This window comes from Homo sapiens, chromosome 11, assembly GCF_000001405.40.
Source record: "Homo sapiens chromosome 11, GRCh38.p14 Primary Assembly".
NCBI classification, from domain to species: domain Eukaryota; kingdom Metazoa; phylum Chordata; class Mammalia; order Primates; family Hominidae; genus Homo; species Homo sapiens.
In genome coordinates this window covers 4,975,534-4,994,302 of record NC_000011.10, presented here as the reverse complement: position 1 = coordinate 4,994,302, position 18,769 = coordinate 4,975,534, and the positions used below count along the sequence as shown (strand labels likewise).

Here is an 18,769-nt window from a genome sequence, read left to right as displayed (position 1 = left end):
TTGGCTATCCTACCTCTTTGCATTTATTAATAAATTTTAGAAACAGGTTATCCATTTCTACCAAGATATACATTGAGACTACTATTGAGAATGTATTGAATCTGTAGATCGATTTGGGGAGAATTTACATGTTTAGAATGTAAGATAACTAATCCAAGAACAGGAACTTCAATTAATTAAGGTCTTTATTTTTTCTCAATATTATTTTATACTTGTCTGTTTGGAGATTACATATTTTACACTAGGTTTATTCTCACATATTTGGCATTCAATTGTGCTAACGTAAGTAGCATGATTAATTTTTTCTAAATATTTGGGACTGTTACATAAAAATAAAGTTAATTTTTCTTTTTTCAGAAAAGCTGAACTTATTTTTTATTTTTAATAAGTGATCTGTATTCTCTAAGGCCTTATTTTGCACCAAATCACACCTCCACAAGTAATGTCAGCTTCTTTTTCTCTTATTTAAAATCTTCATTATCGTTTTCTATATTTATTGCTTTGTTGCATTGGATAAGATCTCCAGTGCATTTTGGGGAGAAGGGATAAAAATTGTTTTCTTTTCTTTTTGCAGATATCACAGGTGTGGTTAACAACATTTTACCATTAAGTATGTTTGCTAAGATTTTTTGTACCTGCTTTTATCCGAGAATGTTGTCATCTTCTATTGTTCATGTGATAAGGGATTTTGTCAAAAATAGATGCTGAATTTCATAAAATTATTTTGGGTTTATTGAAATTCATGCTTTTATGATACATATTATTTTTCTTTAATATCATGTTAATGTGATTAATTATATTGATTGATTTTCAAATATCAACTTGTCTTTCTGGAATAAACTCAAGTTTGGAATGCCATTTTCTTTTCTTTATTTATTGCCAGATTTGGTTTGCAAATATTTCGTTTAGAATTTTGACATCGATGTTCATCAGTAAGCACGGCCTGAAATTTTCCTTACTGTAATGTCTTTGTCATGTTTTGTTATGAGATTGAGATTACACAAAGCTCTAAAATACCTGAAGAAATATTCTTTCTCTTCTCCCCGGGAAGATTTTGCATATGCTGGTATGTTGTTTTTTAATTAAATGGCCATCCCAGGGTAGTTTTAATTATAGGCTTTCTAGTTAATCCTTACGGACAATTCAGGTTTTCTCTTTGTCAGTTTTAAAACTAGTTGTGGAGAGATGTAATTAAGGATTACATTATCCAACATTTATAGGACCATTTAGATCTTCTATTTATTCTTTTACCAATTTTTATAAATTGTATTTATCTAGGAATACATAGTTTGGATATACATTTTGATATTTATTGGTTATAAGTTATTCTTAAGTACTTTCATAATTTTTCAAGATCTGCAGTAGTCACACGGTATCTGCTTTTCTCATTACTCATGTTGTTTTGATATGCATTTTCTTTTTTATACTACTAGTGTCACAGTAGATTGACAGTTTCATTGGCTTTTCAAATAGTCAACTTCAGAGGTTAGGTTCTCCAGAAGCAAATACAAAGGGAGAGTTTGAGATGCAAAGGACTTGTTAGGAATTGAGTGTTGATTCAGCTGCCCTGAACTTAACTTTGTTTAAGTTACTTGACTTAACCAAAGTTTCATAGCTAATAACTAGATAAGCCATTAAACCAATTGGTCTCCATAACTGGCATATTCAATACAGCATAGAAAATAACATTCCTTAAACTCTACCTGTGTAGGAAAATGCAAAGGTCTATTCCTAATCTTATGCTTTCTTTTCTTGCAGTCCCGTGGCCATCTCTGCCAGAGTTCTCCACTGTTGTGTACACTTCTTTCTTGTTCTGATCACAGTGGTTGAACATAGCAAATGCTGAGACATATCAAATTATGAGGACAAAATATTACTCTTTAAAACAATCTTTATTGTGACTCAGTAGCGTTTTGAGTGTCGGTTCAGCTAACCTGACTAGGTTGCATTCTTTAGGGCTTCATCCTAGCAGTCCCCAAGGCTGCTCTAGTGCTTTCAGTTCTTTGATCCTCCAATAAACTCCCTGAAAGGACAGGTTGAATAAGTCCTCTGTGCTAACATTAAGGTATGTCAGATGAACATTTTTCTCCTATGGAAACAGAAAAAAAAAACAACAGTAAATTTCAGGTGAAATTTTCCTGCCCAGATCTCCCTTCTCTTCCTTAAGCAGCACAGACCATACAAATGCTGGATCCTTTGGATATCATCGGCACTGAGCTGGAAGGTTCTAGGGTCGTGATACCAGTAAGTGGGGTACATTATGGAGCTCTGATTCCCAGAGTGCTGCAGGCCCAAAGAATGCCCAATCTCATGAGTTGCAACCAGGAACAGATTATATCCTGAAAAATTATAGAAAAAAAAAAGATAAAATTAACTATGCATAGGGAATGCTGAAAGTGTGTGAAATAGGACAAAGAAAAAGGAGAGAACAGAAAACGAGGAAAGGGCAAATGTTACAGGGTAAAGGAAAAGGTAGGCAAGGAGGGAAAGAAAGTAAGTAGAAAACAGAATGGCAAGATATTTGGACAGATAAACTTGAAGTGAAAAAGACACATGGAAAGAAAGAGGGACTGGCAAATAGAAGCAAAGAGATAAGGAGAAAAAAACACAATCTGACAATGTGTTTATTATGGGATCATCTGTGTTCAGAAATGATCCCACATCTCCTCACTTATAAAGAAGACCTGATTCCTCAGCCAAATCTTCCACCTCACCCTGACCACTCTGGATCCCTAAATGGAAACCATCAACACTGAACCCCAGGTTCCCAGAGAGTTCTAGCGATCCCACCAAACAAGGCATTTACCAGTGTCTGAAGCTGACCAGTGTTCATTCTTGTCAAAATGGACAACTCCAGGATTTCCAGAATTTGGTAAAAAGGCATGGCCTAAGATACCACCTGGCCCATCAAAGGGCCAACCATCTTCATGGGCTGTGGACGACAGAAGCTATGATCACAATGAGGGTGGAGGTAGAAACAAAGGCCAGAATAGTCTTAAGTAAGCCTCAGAGACTTAGGATACTGTGCAACAGTCTACCACTGGGGGATGTGAGAGAGCTAAGGCATTATCTATGCAGAGAAATAAGGTGGGGCCCAAAATCTTCCTACTCTCTTATCTAGGGTAAAAAGAAAGACAGACAGATGGCAGACACTGAGTAAAGCTTACAAGTTAGACAACAATAATAATGATAACCTCTTTTCAAAATGGTAGGGGAAAAGGGAAAGAGAATTTAAACTCAGAAAGTTTTTATAAGTAAGTTGGTTCAACTTTGAATAGCATTTCAATAGATTTCGGAGCTATGCATCGTCTTTTTGGAAGGAAAATGTGCAGTACCCCCACCATATTCACACTGCAGCCAACACCTCTTCTTTATTTATTGCTTCATTTTACTAAAAATGTCTTCCCTATTACAGGATTTGCTTTGCAGTAGGGTTTTGTCAGACTTTTTTTCTCAGAAACTTTAATAGGGGGGCTAGGTTTTTGTTTAAGGATGGAAACCCTTTGTCCTTTACACAGGGCATATACATATCCTTCTTCCCATGTCAATTTCTTACCCCACTGCCAGAAAGAAACCTTGATGTCTGCATCTCCATTCTGCACTTGCTGGAATATCAAAGGGGTCACATTGCTCCAGATGGAAACTGCATTATATATACTGTCTTTCACTGCGGATGGCTTCATATCATGTGGGTAATTGATAATCCTGAGGAAAGCAATCTCTAAATGAAATAGTTCAGAGGAATGGGAATTATCCTAGCTCTAAACATGAATAATTCTACTTTGGGGAGAATCATTTAATAGTTTTAGGACTCATTTTGGTTATTTATAAAGTTGAGCTAATTTCAGACTAATTAAATCAGAAACTTAAGGAATTAAACATGCAAATATAGATTTCTAAGAATTTTAACAATATCCCAAATTATTCTTAGGTCAGCTAAAGTCTAAGAATGACAGTCCTATCTGGTGGTTGGGGAAAAATAAGTAAATAAAACAATGTGAACAAAATTAAATTAAATTAAATATACAGCATTCTACATAAATTAAAATGTATAGCATTCTACATAATTTAGTACTGCTTGCTTTAGATATCTCAAGTATATTTAGAATCCCCAACAGAAAGAGTAACCTAGGCAGAAATTAAGTTTTCAAAATTGTACCTTAGAACCATCCACACACTCACGCATTAAAATTAAAAAGAAAAGATTTAACAAAGGGAAAGGATAGTGGTTATGCTCTCTACTTTCTAAAGAGATGGTTAGAGGAAGCTAGAAAAGGATCTGGTAGTATTACCTTCTCTGAGGGAGATTTTGGGCTTTGAGCGGGCTGCCAATGAAAGCAGAAGAGAGTAGAGGTACCTCCAGGAGAGACCTGGTAGAAAGCCCTTTGAGGTCATCACCCCACACATTATCCTCTAGGCCTTAGTAACAAGCACCTGTAAGTTAGAGTGTGCTTATTCCACTTGCATCTTCCTGGCGAGATGGAGGTGTCGGACCCATCAGGCACCCCACAGTGGGGCTGGTGTAGCAGAGCATGCATCTGCATGTCAAGTAGGTCTGTCCCATTCCGATGGAATTGTTGCAGGAGCTGTGTTTGTGTCTCCTGGGTAAGGAGTGGCGACTCCTTCTTGGTCAGGAAAAATTGATGGAAATAGCCCTGAATCAGATCAAGAAGGATGAGTACTAAGAGTCAATAGGGAAGACCCATATATCAGTTACCCTGGGCATAGCCTTCTTTGAGGGTCTCAGAAGGACGGTACTTAGTCTGGCCTTCCTAAGTCTCCTGTTCTCAGTCAGATGATGGCAGCCATCCCTGATTCTTTATGCCACAGTGAAATGATATGAATGAGAAGTGACAGAATAAAAATAACATGGATAAACTATAACATTTTTTTAAAAGAAAAAGCTTCCAAGTTTTAGGATGGAGAAACCCAAGTATAAACGACAGGAAGATATTACCTGGGAATTCCCCGGGGAAGATGGCCTCTGGTCTTTCTGACTGATGGAGGTTTTCTTAATCAGGATACAATCAATCACTCCAGGACATAAAATTTGGCTGGTTCTGCATTCCCCATTTCATTTGCATTTACTTCCATTTCATTAAGTTACTTTTAAAGAGCCCGTTGTTTACCTATTCCTTGTCTCCACTGATTTTTCTGCCAGTCTAGTGTATTAAATGTAAACTTCTAAATACAAAAAAAGCACATTGTATTGTAATTAGGCTTTCTCTGTCTGTATTTGAATGCTAGCTGGACTCAAAATACTTTAAGGGCAATGCTCATGTCTGATACAGCTTGATCTATTATTCCACAGTTCTTATGAGTACTTGACGTAAACCTATTGACTGTTTTTTTTAAATTATATGACTGCATTTTTATGCCTTTGTTTTATTATCAGCTGAGCTGGGCACTAAGAGGCAAATGACTTATTGTATTGTTCTGGACTAAACATTAGCAGGAAATTTGACTAGGTTCCTATACAATTACAAAATACATGACTGCAACCAGTTATAACATTTTTTAGGTATTTTGGATGCTTAAAAGTTTGGAGCAAATTCATAATTTTTTTAGAAATTGAAAGTGTGTGGTAGACCGACTGGGAGATTACTCAGTCAATGTGAAGGTCCCATTAATTTATTTGAATGATTTCCCTTGATCTCTCACTCCAGTATATAGATCAGAGACCTATATACTGGAGTGTTCACTCTATGCCATATAGAAGACTAAGAAAGTGAGAGATGAGCAATGGGGCTGAATTAGGCACAGAAGGCACAGTGCCTAGGGCCCAAAAACACTTTTAGGGGCTACAAAAAATTAATTTTTTTCTTAAAATTAGAAGAGAAAAATGAACACATAGATAGAATAAAATGTTTTCATGTGTAATATTAATGTGTGTATTTATCATTATACCATGCAGTCACACATACACACACACACGAAATAAGAGCCCACAATGGTCACCATGTAATAATGTGGTCCTGAGTCGTTCACCTACCTCAACAAAGTCCCATCCTTTATGGTCTGCAGCAGGGGGCACTGGAACGGCGAAACACCAGGGCAAGAAGATAGTAACTCTTAAGATGACGAGCTGCATGCCAAACCCTCATTTGTCCCACTGCTTGAATTCAGGTACACAACTTGGGCCACTGGATCTTTATAGCTGTGCCAGCAACATCCAATGACTCACTCTGCCAGTTTGCCCTTTCTTTGAATCTGTGAGTGGCGTCATCATCCATACCTGCTGAGGGCAGAGTGACCAGCATGCAAGGGTGACAAAAGCAGCCATGGAATTTATTTTTAAGCTCAGTTCACACCTGATGGTCCTCAGCATCCCGGGCCACAGGCCTGGTTAAGGAAATACAGGTCAGTCTCAGAATATAGGGGGCATCATTTTTTAAAATAGGGGGGAAAACAAGAAACAGGAGGTGTGTCGAAACTCATTACAGCTTTATCTATAGAATAATTACCAGTCAGAGACATTCAATCTTGCTCCAGAAGCTAAAAAGAGAAAAAAGAATAAAATCAAGGGAAATAAATAATGTCTGCTGTAATAAAGATCCAGATCAGAGTATGAAAATCTCCAAGACCTGGCCTGGCACGATGGCTCACGCCTGTAATCCCAGCACTTTGGGAGGCCGAGGAGGGCAGATCACAAGTCAGGAGATCGAGACCATCCTGGCTAACACGGTGAAACCCCGTCTCTACTAAAAACACACAAAATTAGCCGGGTGTGGTGGTGGGCGCCTGTAGTCCCAGCTACTCGGGAGGCTGAGGCAGGAGAATGGCGTGAACCCGGGAGGCGGAGCTTGCAGTGAGCCGAGATCGCGCCACTGCACTCCAGCCTGGGCGACAGAGGGAGACTCCGTCTCAAAAACAAAAAACAAAAAACAAAAAAAAACCACAAAAAACAAAACAAAAAAAATCTCCAAGACCTATGTAAAAGAGATCTAGAAAAACACAGAAAGAGGTAGTTAATAGCTATATGTTGAAGAAAACAAAGCATTGATAATAAGTTGACACGCACACGTCTATAGATGTACATGTTTATGTATATGTATAGATACATATACATATATATCTCACAGCAAAATATTTCAGCTATTACCTTAGAAATCACACGACTCGGCTGGGTGCAGTGGCTCACACCTGTAATCCCAGCACTTTGGGAGGCTGAGGAGGATGGATCACCTGAGGTCAGGAGTTTGAGACCAGCCTGACCAACGTGGTGAAACTCCATGTCTACTAAAAATACAAAAAAGTAGCCGAGCATGTGGCACGTGCACTCCAGCCTGGGCAACAAGAGCGAAACTCCATCTAAGAAAGAAAGAAAGAGAGAGAGAGAGAGGGAGAGAGAGAGAGAGAGAGAGAGAGAGGGAGAGAGAGAGAGAGAGAGAGAGAGAAAGGAAGGAAGGAAGGAAGTCACAGAACTCTGGAAATGAGTCCTAACTCTGCTACTTAAAAGCTGTTCAACTAGGCCAGGCGCAGTGGCTCACTCCTGTAATCCCTGCACTTTGGGAGGCTGAGGTGGGCGGATCACCTGAGGTCAGGAGTTCAAGACCAGCCCGGCCAACATAGTGAAACCCCGTCTCTACTAAAAATACAAAAAAATTAGCCCAGCATGGTGACAGGCCCCTGTAATCCCAGCTACTTGGGAGGCTGAGGCAGGAGAATCACTTGAACCCAGAAGGCGGAGGTTGCAGTGAGCCGAGATCATGCCACTGCACTCCAGCCTGGGAAACAGAGTGAGATTCTGTCTCAAAAAAAAAAAAAAAAAAAAAAAAAAAAAAAAAAAAATCGACTGGGCATGGTGGTGCTCACTTGTCCCAGCTACTCAGGAGGCTGAGGTGGGAGGATCATTTGAGCCTGGGAGGTCTTGGCTGTAGTGATCCATGATCATGCCACTGCATTCTAGCCTTGACAACAGAGTGAGATCCTATCTCCAAGAAAAAATAAAAAAATAAAAATAAAAGAATTAAAATGGAAGATAATGAAAGAATTTGTTAAAAATACACAATTATTGAGGGCTTATTATAAGGCAATTCTGTGTTTTAAACCTTTGGTATAGATTAAAATATAGTATAAAAATTTTATAGGTTAAAAAAAATGAGACTCAAAGAGGTGAAAGAACATGCCAAAGTCACACTATTAATGAATAGAGAAAATTCGCTTCAAATCTATTAACGAAATACTTCATCAACAGGATTAAACAACATGATATATATGTGGAGGGAGGTCAACAGATAGATGAGAGATAGATAGATGGTTACTACTCAACAGCAGCAGGCAACAGAATAGACAACATTAAAAACATGTTGAATTAAAGACATGGGAAACCAAATGGTAATCCTATTTGAGGCTCAAGAACAAGGAAAGCTAATTTTGCAGAAAGCAATGAGTATAGTGGTTGCCTCTGTCATGGAGGGGATTGTTGGTAAAGGAGCACAATAGAAATTTATCCAGGAATGAAATGTCTATTTCTTGACTGATATCTGGGTAATACAAATATATTCACTTTTTGAAACTCACTAAGCTGTACACTTAAGATTCATATATCATACCATTAAACCTCTACAAAAATAAATACAATTTCAATGAATTAAGAAAATAAAAATATAGATTAATAAGGTACCAAAAGCGGCACCCATTTCACCATGAGGAATATAGAACTGTAATATAAATGGTAATGTATGTGGTCAAATGAGCATATAAATAATCATTTTGTGGATGATATTGTAATGCGAGTGCTATATCCCAGTTAATGTTCTAAAAGAAGAACGTTATGTGCTAAAGACATGGGTAAATAATGGAATGTCAACCAGAGGAATTAATAAAATAAGATATATGTGATATACTTGGAAAAGAGAATATGGTTAATCTGAAAAAGGCAAGATGGATTTAAGACTGCCTATGGAAACAATGATGTTTGTTGTTAGACAAATATGGTATAGAGATTGTTATTCCTGATAACCTCTATCAACTTTGTAAATTATGAGTTTGTTCACTAAAATCTCATGGTGATATAGACCTTATTATATTCTCATTTCAAAGATTAATAAACTAGGGTTTGGGGAATATAAAACTCTTTCCATGGAAATGATAAAATATTGATATTTACATCTATATCTGACTAAGTTTTAAGTCAGATTATGTATTAAATGAGGCATGCTGCTTATCACTGCTGGCAGATCTCCATCAATAATATCATCGACATATCTTTGATGTTTCTATGGCCTGAATACATTCAAAAACCTAAGCTCAGTGGAATCACAATGAAAGAAACAAGGTGAAAATGACTAAAACTTATTCAAAATCTATAGTAGTTTTGAAAGAAGCAAAAATAAAAAAAAATCCTCTAAGTCTCTCACACTTTCTCCGGTGTTCTGAACATAGACTTCTCTAGGATGGTTAAAAATCAGGTTAAATCTCTCTATCCCATTGAAAGAAGGTGACCAGAGAACCCCCATAGAGCATGGTTCCTCAATCACTCTGATGTATTCTTGAAATTCTGTTGCAGAAATGTTAATAAATGAAACCCTCCTGAAATTTCAAAATATTCTGTTGTACACAATAACTATACACAATTTATATTTGTCAATTGACAAATTTACTAACAAATTGAAAAAAATGAAATATAAAGAAGCCCTCATATTTTCCAGGCCCATAAATGACACTGTAGGCTCATTAATGACAGCGACGTCAAGTTGCATTAATATCTGTAGCACAGACTTTGGAACTTGGAAGGAACCCATTATTCATTAAATTAATAAAAGTGTTCAGTAAAAAAAATCTCATAGCTGGTAATGAAATCAGAAGTGAGTGAATACTTAACAAACTATTGATACATACGAGCATATAATTCAGATCGCTCAACACAGGACAAGTGATCATTATAACAACTTATTGAGCGCATACGCTGTGCCAAGAATGCACTTTCTTCATCAACACAACTACCTGTGAAGTAGGTGTTTTATAGTATTCATCTTATAGTTAAGGAAATGAGGCTTTGAGGTCATTTAATTGTCATTTTGGGGGGTCACAATGCTCAAAGTTATGTATAGAAGTTATAAATAAAGAGTATTTTATTCTGAAGGCAGAATCTTTGATCACTGGCCTGGATTGCCACTTTTGATGAGACTGCCCCGTCTTTCATCTTGACACGCACCTCTCTAATGCTGCTCCTGGAACTCCCAGTATGCCCCATGCAATCCGATAGGGCCGGCACAGATGAGCAGCCATCTGTAAGCCTGACCCAGCACTCAAATACATGAGTGCTGACTGCTGAGAGCCAGCTTAACTAAGAAAGCAAATGAGTGACTTATTAACGATTCAGCTGCTGATAAGGGAAGTAATGTGTTGAAAGCACAACAGTGTTTCTCAAAATGTAATATGCATAGAATCGCCTGTGGATATTAATAAAAATGCAGATTCTAATTCAACAGGTCTTGAATAAGCCTAATATTCTAAATTTCTAACAAGATCCTAGGTGATGCCAATGCTGCTGATCCAAAATCAAACTTTTTAAGTAGTTATGAGGCAGAAGATATTGGCAATGTAAGGAACAAAAGACCTGTGAATTTAACCAGAAAGTTTTAATAATGGATACCAGATTTTATATATTATTTTTAAAATCAGAACTATGGAAACAGGCCCCTATCTCTCCTCTCACCCCCATCTATGCTTTCATCTTTCTCATTATGGCTATAGTATTTGATCTGCTGGGTATAAACATCTGGCCTGTGCCTAGGACCTCTCCTAGCAGATTTTGAATTGTTTCCCATCTCCTTCTGGAAGAAATGAGAAAACGTAATTTTGAAGATATCAGACTGCACGGCCACTTTTTCTGTTACTCAGGTAAAGAGTGGGTGCAGGGAGAGTTTGTGGGGCATTGGAAAATTGATGCCATTGTCATGACACTGGCAGCTCTTCTGGAGAAGATTCAATATCTAATTCATTTTGACAGAGAACAAATGCTTTCACCGCAATACCATAGTTTGAGCTAATGCTAAGAGAAGGATTACCAATAGAGAGCATAGAGGGTAATGAGATAAGAACCATGGGGCTGGGCAGGCTGCAAGGAGCCATCGATGCCCCAGTACAGCACAGAACCACACAGTCATTTAGTGATCATCATAGAAAGTGTATATTTTCTCTCCTGAAACTATTTTGCATTTGCAATTTATTTATTCAACTGAGAGAATGGCATATTACTGGTGTGCAAAGGCTATTAAGACACAAAGCCTGCTTTAAGTTAGTTTACCGTCTCATAGAATGGTCTATTAAATAAACATAGAATTGTGAGACAGTAATAAGCCTCAGAATAAAAACCTATACAAGCTTTGCTAGTGGCTAATTGGAGTGAGATCTTAACCCACATGGATTTCTATGAGGAGGTAAATAGAGGAGGTGATGTAACCTGGACCTTACACATTTCAACAATGTTGTAGGAACGCTGGGAAAAAGCCTAGAACCTCAGGTCATTTCTTTTGATTAGAGTATAGGTTTTGCCTGAGCAAACCTCTTTCATACAGATAAGAACAGAGAGTGAAGTAAGAAATGGATCCCGTAGGGATTTAAAAGTCATGTAAATATTTTATACCCTTTACCTCTTGTAAATATGTATTTATACTGGTGTTTATTCAGATAAGTATACTACTTATCAAAATAGTAATTATAAGAGTAACCAACTTTTACTGATTGTTAAGTGCTATTTGTATGAATTATGTCATTTAATTACATGAACAACTTTTATTTTACAAATTAGGGAATTAAGACTCAGGGAGTTGAGTAATTTGTCGAAATTTAGAGACTTTACAATTGCCAGAGCCTGCAATTTTTAACTTTCATACAGGCAGACGTAAACATGTATAGTCATGTGCCACATAACAGTGTTATTCAATAATGGACCACATTAGCATGGTGCTCCCATAAGATTGTAATGAAGCTGGAAATTCCTATCATGTAGTGACATTGTAGCTGTCGTAACGTCATAACACATTGCATTTCTGATAATGCTGATATAAAGAAACTGACTTCACCACCAATCCTACAGAAGTATAGCACATACAATTATATACAGTATATAATTCCTGATAAAGATAATAAACAACTGTTATTGGTGTATGTATTTACTACACTAAAATTTTATCATTCAGAGTGTACTCAATATATATGTATATGTTTATATGTGTATGTATATTGTATATATGTATGTATGTATATTGTGTGTATATATATATATACATACATACATATATATGTAAAGTTAACTGCAAAACAACTTCAGGCAGGTCAGTCAGGAGGTATTTCAGAAGAAGGAATTGTTGTTATAGGAGATGACAACTCCATGCACCCTGAAGACCTTCCAGTGGGACAAGATATGGAGGTGTAAGACAATGATATTGATGATCCTGAGCCTGTGTAGGCCTAGGCAATGTAGTGTTTATGTATTAGTTTCTAACAAAAAGTTTAAAAAAGAAAAAAAAGAAAAAAACTTAAAAGTATAAAAAGCTTATAGAATAAGGATATAAAGAAAAAATTTTTTACAGTTATACAATGTGGTTGTGTTTAAGCTAAGTGCTGTTACAAAAGATTCAAAAGTTTAAAAAATTGAAGTTTGTAAATAAAAAAGTTATAAGAAGATAGGTTAATTTATTATTAAATAAGAAAGTTTTAAGCTAAATTTAGGGTAGCCTAAGTGTACAGTAGTGTACATTCACTCACCAATCACTCCCTGACTCACCCAGAGCAACCTCTAGGCCCACATGCTCCTTTTATAGTAAGTGCCCTACCAAAGTGTAGCATTTTTAATCTTTTATGTTGTGTTTTTACCATACATTATTTATGTTTGGATATACAGATATTTACTATTGTGTTACAATTGTCTATAGTATTTAGTACAATAGCATGCTGCATGGGTTTGTAACCTAGGAACAATAGGCTATAGCATATACTTTAGCTATGCCATCTCGGTTTGTGTAAATACACTCTACGATGTTCTCATGACAATGCATTTCTCAGAATGAGTATCTCTATCATTAAGCGTTGTATGACATACACACAGGTATGCACACAAACACACCTATATGTTTTATAAAAATTATACATGCTTATATTTTTAAAAATCAAACAGTACAAAAATGTGAGAAAAGAAACAACAGTTCCTTGACTCTCCTTTGCCATCTTCAGTACACTCTCTAAAGGAAGCAATTTTGAGTTGTTTAAATTTCTTCTTTTATAAGTTTTTCCAGTAATAACATTCAGCTACTTAACTAATATGTTTATATTGTTATTTATTGATTTGCAGTTTTAGATAATATCTATTGTCATATAAATAAGAATTCACCTTAACTGAAAGCCCCTTAAGTCCTGTCCTTCTTAATATGTTTATGTTATGATTTTATTTTCTTCATTGTGTATGCTAAGCTTCTAAACAATATTATCATTGTACTTCTCATTAAAACAGATACAAATAATATTTCTTCACCCTTCACTTAGGAAAATGAGGATATTAATGTCCACAAATACTTCCTTCAATGAACTATATTTTTACTTAAAAATTGTTTATATTATTTTGTCACCACAAAGTAATCTTTCATATTTTTCTTCAAATAATTTCTTCATATTTTCAAGAAATAACATGTATAATTCTATGACTATGGGAATATAAATAGCACAGAATTTTTGCATATCCATTTTATTTGCACAGCTTTCACTATTTCGTTGGGTTTTTCATTAGTTTACTTTTCCTTTTGCATTATCTTGTCTTAGTAATCTCCTTAAATTTAAATTTTTTCATATTTTATGTTTTATTTTGTTTTCCATCCCTATATTTTGTTCTTTGCTTGCAGTCAAGTGTTCAATATATACATTGTATAAAAGACCTTCATGTAATGTTACCCCAAAAGAAAACATACATGGGTCATGGAAGATGTGGTGTCTTCTGCCCTCACAACTGTGGACTCTTGTCATGTTAAATTCACTGGTTTCGAAAGGAGGTACACTTTTTCCATAAATAAACTACAGCTATCATCTGGAAACTTTGGTGTCTTTATACTCAGAAACCAAATGGCCGGAAGAGGACTACTCATATTTTCAAGGGTAACTGACCCTGATACTCAGGAAAAAGAAAAACTGTCATAAAACATGCAAAAAAGCCAGGTAATGGAGCTGGAATAATCCTCTCTGGGGATTATTCTACTGGGCAATACTCAGTCCACAGCTTTAGCCTGGATTGGCCAAAGTTTTATCAGTCCTGTATTATACTTTTACTTTTCTTTCTGTGAAATTCTGCTTTTTCCCCTTCCCTTTCACAAATATTGAACTCTTAATACATTAAGTCTATATCATGACAGAGGGTATGAGAATTAACATAACACCGGGGCAAAACTGTAAATGTGAATTGCTCTCTGTTCCATATAAACATGAATTATTTCTGATTTTTTAAATTATTGTTTTCTGCGTGGGATAGAATAAAAGTATTTATCAAATGAATGCCTGTCATGTACCTAAGGCTAATGAATCTAAGAAATCTGTCCAGTGGTTGTAACTACTAGTTGGTTGAACTTCCAGCAGTCTACAGTCATTTTCCAAGGTATAGCTGGAGTCTGCAGAGACCACACAAGTGCATTAAAAGGAGATAAGTTAGGGACTGTGATGCTAAGTTTCATCAGCCACCCTGGGGTATGGTATTTGTTTTGGAATTAACTTATTAGCCCCAGACATTTGGAGGCAATTTCATAGAACTCTGTTTGGTCTTTCTCACTATAAAAGCTCTGACTCATTAAACTAAGGATTGAGCCACTACCAAATACATCAGTCTCAATTATACATTAGAGGTATCAGTGCCAATTCAGATCCTGCATCCAACAGTCCTAAAAATGACACGATGTTCATTTTTCACCAGTGTAGTTACTCAAACAAGTGACTGTCAATCCCTTTGGAGGACCAGGGAAATCAGTATAATGTGTATAATGGTGTTAAAATAACCAACCTGGGGATTTATTCAATCATTGGTTTGCAGTCTGAACGAATTCAGATCTGGAATCTTGGCAAGGGCTCGCAAATTCTCTGTGAAGCAACTGCTCTCAGCTTCATGGTTATCCATCTTTGATTTCCTGTGTGGATGCAAGCCAAGTATCACTGTTGTTGCTGCCCATTATTTTGCTCCTATGGATGCCCCTTTCTACATGCTTCTGGGAGCAATTTCCACAAAATGTTTGTTTCATGTCTGAAGGTTTTAGCTGGATATTAAATTCTATATTTTGTGACAGGACTCACAAGTCATATACTCTTTCCTATATAATTTCATTTTCTAACCTCTTGGACTAAGCAAGCTCAATGTATCATGCTTACTTTGTCATATCTTGCTGGTAGATTCTATCTTATTCTCGTAACTTCTTTAGGGTATAGTCCTTTTCTTCTCTTATCAGACCCAACACCTCACCATCTGTTTATGCTGCAAATTATTCCTAATTTATGACCTGGCGTTGGGAAAATAGGAGAAGGTAGGACCCTAACAACGTAATCCTTTTGTTCTTTCTGAAACTGCTGCTAGTCTGACAAAGTAATGAAATTACACTAATCTGAAGTGTCAGTTAAGTGATGATACGTGAGACAATGTGGCCATATCTTCCAGGACACAGTATGCAAACTAAATCAATATCCATTGTGTTAATTTTTTTAATATGAGGAAAACATTTTTATTATGAAGGAAAAAACAGTGTTGTCATTACTAAACATCGCTTCCATTTACCCACTCTGAGAACCTGTGTTTTATTCCCACTGTGCTGGGCACTGTTGGTTTAGAGATCCTGATTCTAGAGGTAAAAATATTGTACCAAAAGACATAATTTTATTAAACTATTAGAGATGGCATCATGTCATTCTAAGATACCAGTAAGCAAAGAAAATAATTACTTTAATAATCAGAATGAGTTAGAAGTGCTGACACTTGATGTGGCCAAGTAAGAATATGCTTACTGTTAGGTGATCCCTGGGCATCCCTTGACACTTCTTGCCCTGTTTTGATGCTAAATGGATGTCTTTGTCCATTTTTGCACTACTGTAAAGAGATACCTGGGACTGATTAATTTATAAACGAAAGAGGTTTAATTGACTCACTATTCTGCATGGCTGGGGAGGCCTTGGGAAACTTACAATAATGGCAGAAGGCAACAAAGAAGCAAAGGCACATCCTACATGGTGGCAGGCAAGAGTAAGTGAAGAAAGTGAAGGCGGAAGAGCTCCTTATAAAACCATGAGATCTCATGAGAACTCACTCACTATCATAAAAACAACATGGGGGAACCATCCCCATGATCCAGTCACCTCCCACCAGGTCTTTCCCTGGACACCTGGACACCTGGACACCTCAATTTAAGATGAGATTTGGGTGGGGACACAAAGCCTACCATATCAATGCACAAATACAAAAGCCACAGTTTGAGAAGTTTATGGTGGCCAAGGATGAAGTTCTAGCTAAGGGTACAGGAATCTAAGCTAGATAGTAGAGGAGAGGGATAGTATATAACAGTTGGAGCCTCAAGACAGCTGCAGTGTAGGGGACTTTGAGTCATCCCACTAACAGTTCACCTGTCGCTTCTGAATGGACAAAAAAGGCCTATATGAATTCTGAAAAAGCTGCTTCCAGAATTTATTACTGAAGTTTTTTGGTGAAAGTGTGCAACGGTTGAACTGCAGCTGATGCTCAGTGAATCTCCTGGATGTTCTTATTCTGCCAGAACTGAAGCACTCATTCCTCTAGTGAGAGTGTTATAGCTGACAGGTCACATTTGAGTCCTTCTTGAGAATTTCTTTCTTCTGAATGGAACCACTTTATCCAAAGTCATGACCCCTCCCATTTAAAGACTACATCCAATGGCCCGTCAATAGGTTGTTAAAAAGGCCCAGACCTTTCCTCCAATTCAGGACAATTCTGAAGTGGGATCATTTTAGCCCTAGAGATCTCTTCAAGATTAAATATAGCTTTTCTAACAATTGAATGGAATTTAATTTCTCTTTCCACTAGTTCCATTTCCTTTTTTCCCTCATAGCTGTTTAACATAGAAACACTCCCAATAAACTTCTGCACACAAATGTTTAGCTCAATGTTTATTTCAAAGGGATTTCAACGTGCAACAACATCATTATCAAAGACAAATATGAGTAACACAAGAGCAAGAAATCTTTAAGTAACAGTAAAAATACATTTATTTAATATAGGAAGTACTCAGACTAATAGATAAAATTTAAAAAATGAACAAAGGGTATATAGACTGGCCTCTAAAAATAAATTCAGGTGCTCTTAAACATGAGCAGAATAACGACTTTCATTTTATAAGATAAAAATTGCATGTATAAGCAAGTAGCAAAAGTGAATCTGAAAACTCACAGTGGCACAAACATAATGACTTAGGAAAATAAATTGTGAACACTTCTCCAGAAGAACCTATAACTGCAGGCGAAAGAGCAATCAATTCTGTTGAATAAAGAAGAATAGGTCTCATAGGATGTTAACCTTCAATGGCTAATTTACATGCAGTATAGCAATTCAGCTGATTCTGTTTGAGTCCACTCTTATTTAAGGTCTCATCTGTGTAAAGAAAAGACCTGTGGGCTTTTTAATCCCTCTGGGTCTTGCTTCCTGAGGTGTCATCCTCAGAGGCCTTTGTTCCACTAAAAAGGCACCAAGGTAGAAGGGCTAGAGTCAGACCATCAAGATCAATACATGGGCCTAATAGCCGGGATTTGAGTGGCTTTATCCTGGGTTCAGCTCCTTCTTACCTTGAAGTATGGACTAAGCATGATCTTGGTAAGTACCTGAAAATCCTGATGTTCTAATTGCAAGTCTCATTAATCAAGAGCATTAAGATGGGTATTTTATCCTTAATAAGCTGTTATGATTTTACCATTTAATACTTGCTTCCATGTCAACATATACTCAAGGTTTGACAATCTGCATAACACCATCCTGACAACATTATTATACAAACATCATTATCCTATTAATATAAAGAACATGATAACCTTATTTAACAACTTTCATATAAATACTGAACTTTATTTTAACTTCATTTTAAAAAGACATTCTGTATCTGTTACTTCAACTTTTTTGCATTTTTATAAACTAGACAATTTAGTTGAGTAGGCATTTCTGAGCCAAAGACAGAATACTGGACAATCCTATCTGTGCAATGTTCTAGTTCCTCTAGAGTCTCTAAAAGTAACATCTTTTAAAGCAAAATAAAATAATCTTCCAGAAAGCCATAGCATTTTCTAAAGAAAGAGATTTTTATACCCTACTTTTCCTCACTGATTACGAAGTACTTTTTAATCCTATTAAGAGGGCTGGTATAAGCTCAAAGTTATTAGCTGGGTTGAATATGGAGGGATTTAAAACTCAGATTTTAAAAAGTGTACGTTGATTAAATGATGCAGAGCTATTAAAGCAGTTACTGTATGTCAAAAACAATACCAACATCTTGGCAACACAAAGTTTTGGGAGAATGTTCGCTAGAGAACATTTGGGAGGAAATCAAAAGAGGAACCGTATCTCCATACATCCACAGGAGGAACAGCATGGAGGGGAGATGAAGTCAGTGACAGAGAAGGTTGAGGCAGTGAAGCCTGAACTGGCTGTGTTTCATACAAAAGCCATGCAGAATGATCTCAAGCAGCGAAAGGTGCACATTCTTCTCAAACGATTCACTTACCTTAACAATTTTAACATTAAATACACTTTGAACCTCCGTCCTGGCAGGAAAGAACTTCCAAT

The 18,769-nt window shown here is 36.5% G+C and overlaps 1 protein-coding gene across 3 annotated transcripts in view; it reads right to left on the bottom strand.

The window, feature by feature from the left end:
* Window positions 1-1,873: 1,873 nt before the first annotated feature.
* Window positions 1,874-18,769, bottom strand: part of MMP26 (matrix metallopeptidase 26) — a 287,646-nt gene continuing 270,750 nt past the window's right edge. The window contains exons 1-7 of one of the 3 annotated variants that reach the window (XM_011520219.3): window positions 5,993-6,235; window positions 4,958-5,184; window positions 4,435-4,655; window positions 3,557-3,705; window positions 2,807-2,932; window positions 2,178-2,339; window positions 1,874-2,089 (exon numbers count right to left, since the gene is read on the bottom strand). In XM_011520219.3, the coding sequence (XP_011518521.1) occupies window positions 2,061-2,089; window positions 2,178-2,339; window positions 2,807-2,932; window positions 3,557-3,705; window positions 4,435-4,544 (576 nt within the window). In that variant the 5' untranslated portion in view covers window positions 4,545-4,655; window positions 4,958-5,184; window positions 5,993-6,235 and the 3' untranslated portion in view covers window positions 1,874-2,060. Of the gene's footprint in view, window positions 2,090-2,177; window positions 2,340-2,806; window positions 2,933-3,556; window positions 3,706-4,434; window positions 4,656-4,957; window positions 5,185-5,992; window positions 6,236-18,769 lie in introns of those variants that run through there. The other 2 variants (NM_021801.5, NM_001384608.1) reach the window with 2 other exon arrangements.